Source organism: Homo sapiens, chromosome 11 (assembly GCF_000001405.40).
Source record: "Homo sapiens chromosome 11, GRCh38.p14 Primary Assembly".
NCBI classification, from domain to species: Eukaryota; Metazoa; Chordata; class Mammalia; order Primates; family Hominidae; genus Homo; species Homo sapiens.
In genome coordinates this window covers 20,054,001-20,060,000 of record NC_000011.10, presented here as the reverse complement: position 1 = coordinate 20,060,000, position 6,000 = coordinate 20,054,001, and the positions used below count along the sequence as shown (strand labels likewise).

General features: G+C 41.1%; 1 protein-coding gene across 50 annotated transcripts in view; it reads right to left on the bottom strand.

Moving 5' to 3' along the window:
* The window catches only part of NAV2 (neuron navigator 2), a 776,366-nt gene that overhangs the window by 61,601 nt on the left and 708,765 nt on the right, over positions 1 to 6,000 (bottom strand). For 25 of the 50 annotated variants that reach the window (XM_017018520.3, XM_017018522.2, XM_024448758.2 and 22 more), the window contains 3 exons: positions 5,761 to 5,921; positions 4,044 to 4,232; positions 3,373 to 3,471 (listed from right to left, as the gene is read on the bottom strand). In XM_017018520.3, coding sequence (XP_016874009.1) covers positions 3,373 to 3,471; positions 4,044 to 4,232; positions 5,761 to 5,921 — 449 coding nt within the window. The remainder of the gene's footprint in view (positions 1 to 3,372; positions 3,472 to 4,043; positions 4,233 to 5,760; positions 5,922 to 6,000) is intronic. The other 25 variants (XM_047427824.1, NM_001111018.2, XM_047427828.1 and 22 more) reach the window with 1 other exon arrangement.

Below are 6,000 nucleotides of genomic sequence, written 5' to 3'. Positions count from 1 at the left end.
AAGAGACAGATCCTTGATTTTCTGAGTCAACCCAAAACTGAATGTGTTTTACCTGAACCATTGCAGTTCGGCCTCCTTCAAGGGAATTGAGCCAGGTCAGAGCCTAGGTTGTGCAATGTGGTTATTTTTGGACAACAAAATGCCTGTGGGAGTTACAGAAGCTAAACAGCTAAAGCAGGCTACATATTTTTCCTCCCTATAGCTATACCTCACATTTTTTCAGCTACAAGGAACCATAGAGAATATCTAGGCCACTTCTGCCATTGAGAAATCTGAAACTCGGAGAGGTGAAATGACTTGTTTAAGGTCACACAGCAATTCAAGAACAGGATCTGCTGACTAGAAGTCCGGAGATCGCTCTGCCTTTGAGTAATCTGTTGTACTGGTTTCTGATTCTTTTTTCATTTGTTTGTTTTTTTTTAAAGAGCCTTTTGGTGTCTTTTAGAATGGTGTCCTAGTCCCTTCATTCAGTCAACACATGGGCACAACCTAGGAATGTTTGAGAAGAAAGATGCTTTAGTAGGAGTGAAAACACTAGATAGAATGAAACAACTAGGCATATTCCAGCCAATAAAGCAATCAAGTGCCTCTGACCCTCATCACAGAGAATCTGCAGGTAACAATCCCAGACTAGGCAGGAGTTTCCACCGTTAATCAACAACAGAGTACATTACATCTCAGAATGGTTAAGTGACGTGGCCAGACACACAGCTAGTCAGGAGCAGAAAGAGAATGTGGATCTAGGCATCACGATCTACTTCTCATTCCACAATTGGGTACTGTGGAAAGAGTCAGAAGAATGAAATGCAGTGCTGATGGCTAATGGACTGCCCTGCCTCTCCACCAGCAAAGGAAGCATCACAAAACAGAGAAGACATTGATGAAAGATCAGAGCTTGCCTCAGACAGGTTTAAAAAAAAAAAACCCAACTGAGTCAGATATCAAGGTAGGATTGAGTGAAAAGAAAGAGGGACTGGAATCAAGAAGCTTAAGACATCATTGTGGCTGCATAAAGTCTTCAAGTCACTTTTGCCTCAATTTGGCCATTAAAAAAATGAGGATGATAATGGCCCTTGGGGAGAAGGCTATAATATGACAATTATAACAATAGCTACCATTGAGTGAGCACTTACAATACTCCCCTTTCAAAGTTATTTGTTAAATGCTTTCCAAGATTCATCTCACCTAATCTTCACTTCAATTTTCCAAAGCAGGTACAATTATTTTTCACATTTCAGTGAATAGGAAACAGGCTGAGCAGGTCAAGTCCTTTCTCAGAATCACACTGCTAACAGTAGAGGTGCCAGGATTTGAACCACTTCAGCAATTCAGGGCCTAGATACACAAGCATGCTGCAATACAAGCTTTCTTGATTAATAAGCTTCTGTGCTCCTGGGGATTCCATATAAATTGATAGGGTGGAGGGTTTCTGTGTTTTTCACTGCATTAGCTCTTAGTGATGATTGGTGAAGTCATGGGATTTTTTTTTCTCTAGAATCCATTTTAATAATGCTTCAAGCATCCCCTTAAATGTACGCTATTAAAGTTGACTTTAAGATCGCATAATGCATCTGATAGAAAGTAATTTACCTGAAACACCTTTGAAAGGCTGCATCTGGCCATGCCTGTACCTAATCTACATATTTATAATTCCTAAAACTCCTTCAAAGTGGAAAGAGCTAATTAAATTGCACAAAAACCTCACACAAATACTTGTGCTACTTCTTCCTAAATTTCTATTCTGCTTTATGGCGTATAATACACCTAACTGATTATTACAAGGAGGTTCTGTTTGGTCCAAACATGAAATGTCAATTTTCTTCCAACTGCTCCTGCAATACTGGGAGTTAATAAATTCAAAAAAAGGAATTTCAACGAAAGGAATTAAAAACCTAATTACACAAACTCTATTTTATTTTTGAATGTAATAACCTTAGAAGAAATAAAATCAATCTGATGCCATATTTTCCAAAAGATGATAATGTTATGTATTCACAGTGTATTGACAGCGGTCCCTATCCATTCCCCTAAAGTTTGACTTTTACCTCTGTGCTTCAGTTCCATGTCACCATGAATCATTAGGTTTACAAAAGTCTAGACACTGCTTGTGGGCAAGCACTTTTTATCAATGTCATTTTGACATCCCAGATATTCCACAGTTGTGCTGTCTGCCAGCTTGATTCCAGATGGAATAAATAAAAGCTATCTGATGACGATACTGTAATGGTCCTGGACCTTTATGAGGCGAAGTGTGCTTGTTTGGACAAGTTTCAGTACTGGACGTGGTTCACTCAGGAAGACACATGGCAGAGAAGAGGAATACAGTGCGGGACAAACTCCATATGCAAATCCTTCCCGGGGAGGTTGGGAAATGCTCTGTGGCGATGCTTGGCCAGTACACTGACTAGAAAGAAGTTCAAGACAAACTGCCACTTCCTTCACCTTAGGATCACAATATATTCTCTACTATCACTGTTCTGAGCAGTTATAGCATTAATTTCTAGCTCTTAAATCTCACAAATGCCCCTCAGTGACTCAGGCTTCTCCCCTCCTTAATCCTTGGTCCCAGCAGCTTCCCATATATGGATTTACAGACTTGTGCCTGTTCACTGAATGTCATGGTATGCAAATGATACATAAATCAGGGTGCAAAGTATTAAGTTACCAAGAAAATAAACCAGGGGGCAATTGCTCTGTAAATACATTCTTTAAAACTTCTGTTAAAAAGAACACTAGGCAAAAGCAGAATCCTGTGCCTTGTGTTTCTCTCCCTTTTGACTTGAAACTTCCTAAACAATCACAAATTTGTTTGTTCTTTCATGCTGGGAGGATGCTGGCCCTTTTTCCCTACTCATATGGGGACCGGGAAGCACCTATAACTCACCCTCCACATTCTGCTTTTTCAATGGCAACAAAGGGACAACCAGATGTATAGTCCTCAGACTAGGCTCCGTTTGCTCCAAGATTCCCCACTCTCTGGCTGGGGACTTTGAGCTGCCAGGAAGTCAATGCTGAAGCTGTGTTTTTACAGCTATGTTATTAGAGCTTTACGGCTGTGTTATTACAGGCCATGACATGTAATAACATTATTGTGTTAACATTTATATGTATTATCTCATTTAATTCTCATAATTCCATGAGCTGAATACTATTATTACTCCTATTTTATCCATGAAAAAACAGAGGCACAGAGAGGTGAAGCAACTTGATCAAAATCATATACCTAAAAAGCAGTGGAGCTGGAATTTAAACTCTGCTAGTCTGACTCCTATTCTTATCATTGGTTAATGAGCATTGCCGCCAATGTCCCATCAGCCCCATCTTCATGGGGTGGGGATGATATCCTCCACAGAATTTTGACTGCTTACTCACCTAACTCATACCTTGCGTGATGGAACAAAGGAAGAGAGAAATGAAGTGAGCTGTGAAGACGGCTGACAAAGTTGTCCACAGAACTTTTCTCCCATGATTCTGATTAAAATGAACCAAACATAAAAATCCAACCCCAAATATTCTCAGTTAGCAACCAAAGAAAGAAAAGGGCATAACTGAAAACAATACACTTAAAAACCCAGTGCTTGAGAAAGGAGATGAAAAATTCTGGAGCAGAGCAGAAAGGCGTGGCTGCCCGGCCCCCAGAGCTACAGGGGCATGTCAGCACAGGGAAATGAACTCTCCAGTAGTTCTCTCTGCCAAGATGGTGAGCCGGTGGCTGAGCCTCAAGGTGGAGGCGCATGCCAAGAAGCTGTGGCCCAAGTCCAGGAGGGAGAAGCCTAAAGCGGACCTCAGTCAGCTCTATGGTTCACCAGTGATTTTTAAGCAGCCTCTTCCTCAAAGGCCTGGAAGGTTAATTAAGGGTCAGGCCAGACCTTACTCTTCAGAGATCCCCACCCCTGACCCCCAGAGTAGGTGGGAGAGGTGGGAGCACTTATAGGTGGGCTCTCAGGTTAAGGAAGTGAACTTAGCATAGAGGACCCTTAACTACACTGAGTAACCTGGGAGATGGAAGTTTCCTTCCTTACCTTCTTCCTTTCCTTCCTTACCTTCTTCAAACCCATCCCGGAATGAGCCTGAACGGCTCATGGTTCTGCTCTTCTCATCCAGGGACATGGAGCTATTCCGGAAGCGGCTGTCAGTGTATGGATCATACTGCCCATCAGCATTGGAGAGGCTGTGAGTCCTCAGCATGGTCGGGTTGGACAAGCTCATCTGGGTGACAGTGGTGGGACTCGCTGGAATAAAAGGAATAGAATCAAAAGGTTAGACATTCATGTCTCTGTTCAAATCCTGGTTGGGGACAAAGAGAAGACTGCTTATTTTTAGCCACATGTGTTTCTGCCAACTCTTCTCCCATCTGTTTTCTAAAAGGTAGTCCCATCAGCATTTGAGTTACACACCGGGAGCTAAAAATAAGAGTAAAAAGGCAGGTCAGCTCCAAAGCAAGGCTCTGGGCCTCAGCTTTCCAACTTGGCACGTTCAGACAGGCCAGTATCACCTTCCAGGCATGAGCTAATTACTCCCCAGGCTCATCTGGAATGATTTTCTCTAAAGCCAAAAGCCCAAAATAGTCCAATCAGGCTTTTGATCAGATGGGAAGCATTTGTGCATGACAAGAATCTCTTGCCTCAAAGAGTTATGGCTGGGAAAGAACAGTATGAACACAGATCCCATTGCCTCAGATGGGGGACATTTAATAATGGTATATAAAGAGTTTCAATGCAAGGAAGGTACATTTGTCTCAGCTAAAACTAGCTTTCTTATGAAAATCCTGTCCATTTGAGTCATGTGCAATATTTTCAGAGGTACTCATTTAGTCAATCAGAAATGAAGTGTTAAACCTCACTTGATTACAAGCCACCTCTATCCTTAAAGACTCTGAATTTGTTATTCACTATATTCAGAAAAGCCTGCCTCTCTAAAGAGTGAGATGAGATTAGAAAAGATTTCTCACCCTCTATCAGTCCTTCAAGGCTCAGCTCCTACTCTGCCACCTTCACATAACCTCTGCCTATAACTTCAGCCAGCACTAATCTTTCCTTTTTCTAAATGTGTCTAATGCTTGCTATCTAATTATATTCAGCTTTTACATGATTTCATATAAAGCTCTGGATTGTTCTCTTTTACTCTATTATATAGGTGTGCATTGATGTGTTTGTCTTCCTGAAAAAGAATTCCATTGACATGTCAGCAGGGACTGTGACACAAATTCTTTTCCTTTCCCCACTGTGCCAGTCAAAGCATTATGTCAGAAGTAGGCATTGTTAAGAATACCTATTCAATCAAAACTTAACTTTTATTTCCAACTTAATAAAGCAATGAGGATGACCTAACATGGGATATGCGATAAAATCTATTTCTTCAGAGGTCTTAGAAAAAGAATGCATTCTTTTTAAGAATGGGATAACATGTTCTTTGCTATAGCCCTACCAATATCAACCAAATAAAGAAAATTATTGATTACAGTATCAAAAACTTTACTATTTTCTCTATTTATTTTTCTGTCAATCCCCTGTAATCGATCTATATTGCCGAGGGCTAATCAGACACTGAGCGGGATGTGACTATATGTCTATTTCAAAATGTAAGATAACTCAAGTGATGGGTGCACCAAAATCTCAGAAATCACCACTAAAGAACTTACCCATGTAACCAAAACCACCTGCTCCCCAAAAACTATTGAAATAAAAATATGTTATGTATATAAGATAACCACTGCCCTGTGGAGCTGATCAACATAGGTAATGACAAGTGGCTACTCACCAAGCTGGGAAAAGTTGAATCTTGTTCCGGAGGGAGAAGTCACGCTGGAGCCAGAGGAAAAGGGGGAATTGGCAGCGGTGTCCTGAAGGCCTCCTGCAGAATGGGACCGTAACCATTCTTTTGCATCTTCTTGCGTGCGAAGCTGGGAGGTGGGAGTATACCTGGACAGACAGAAATCAAGCCGGAATTAACTATGAACAATGCTTATTAAAATGAACTCTGTGGAGCTGATGGTAAATA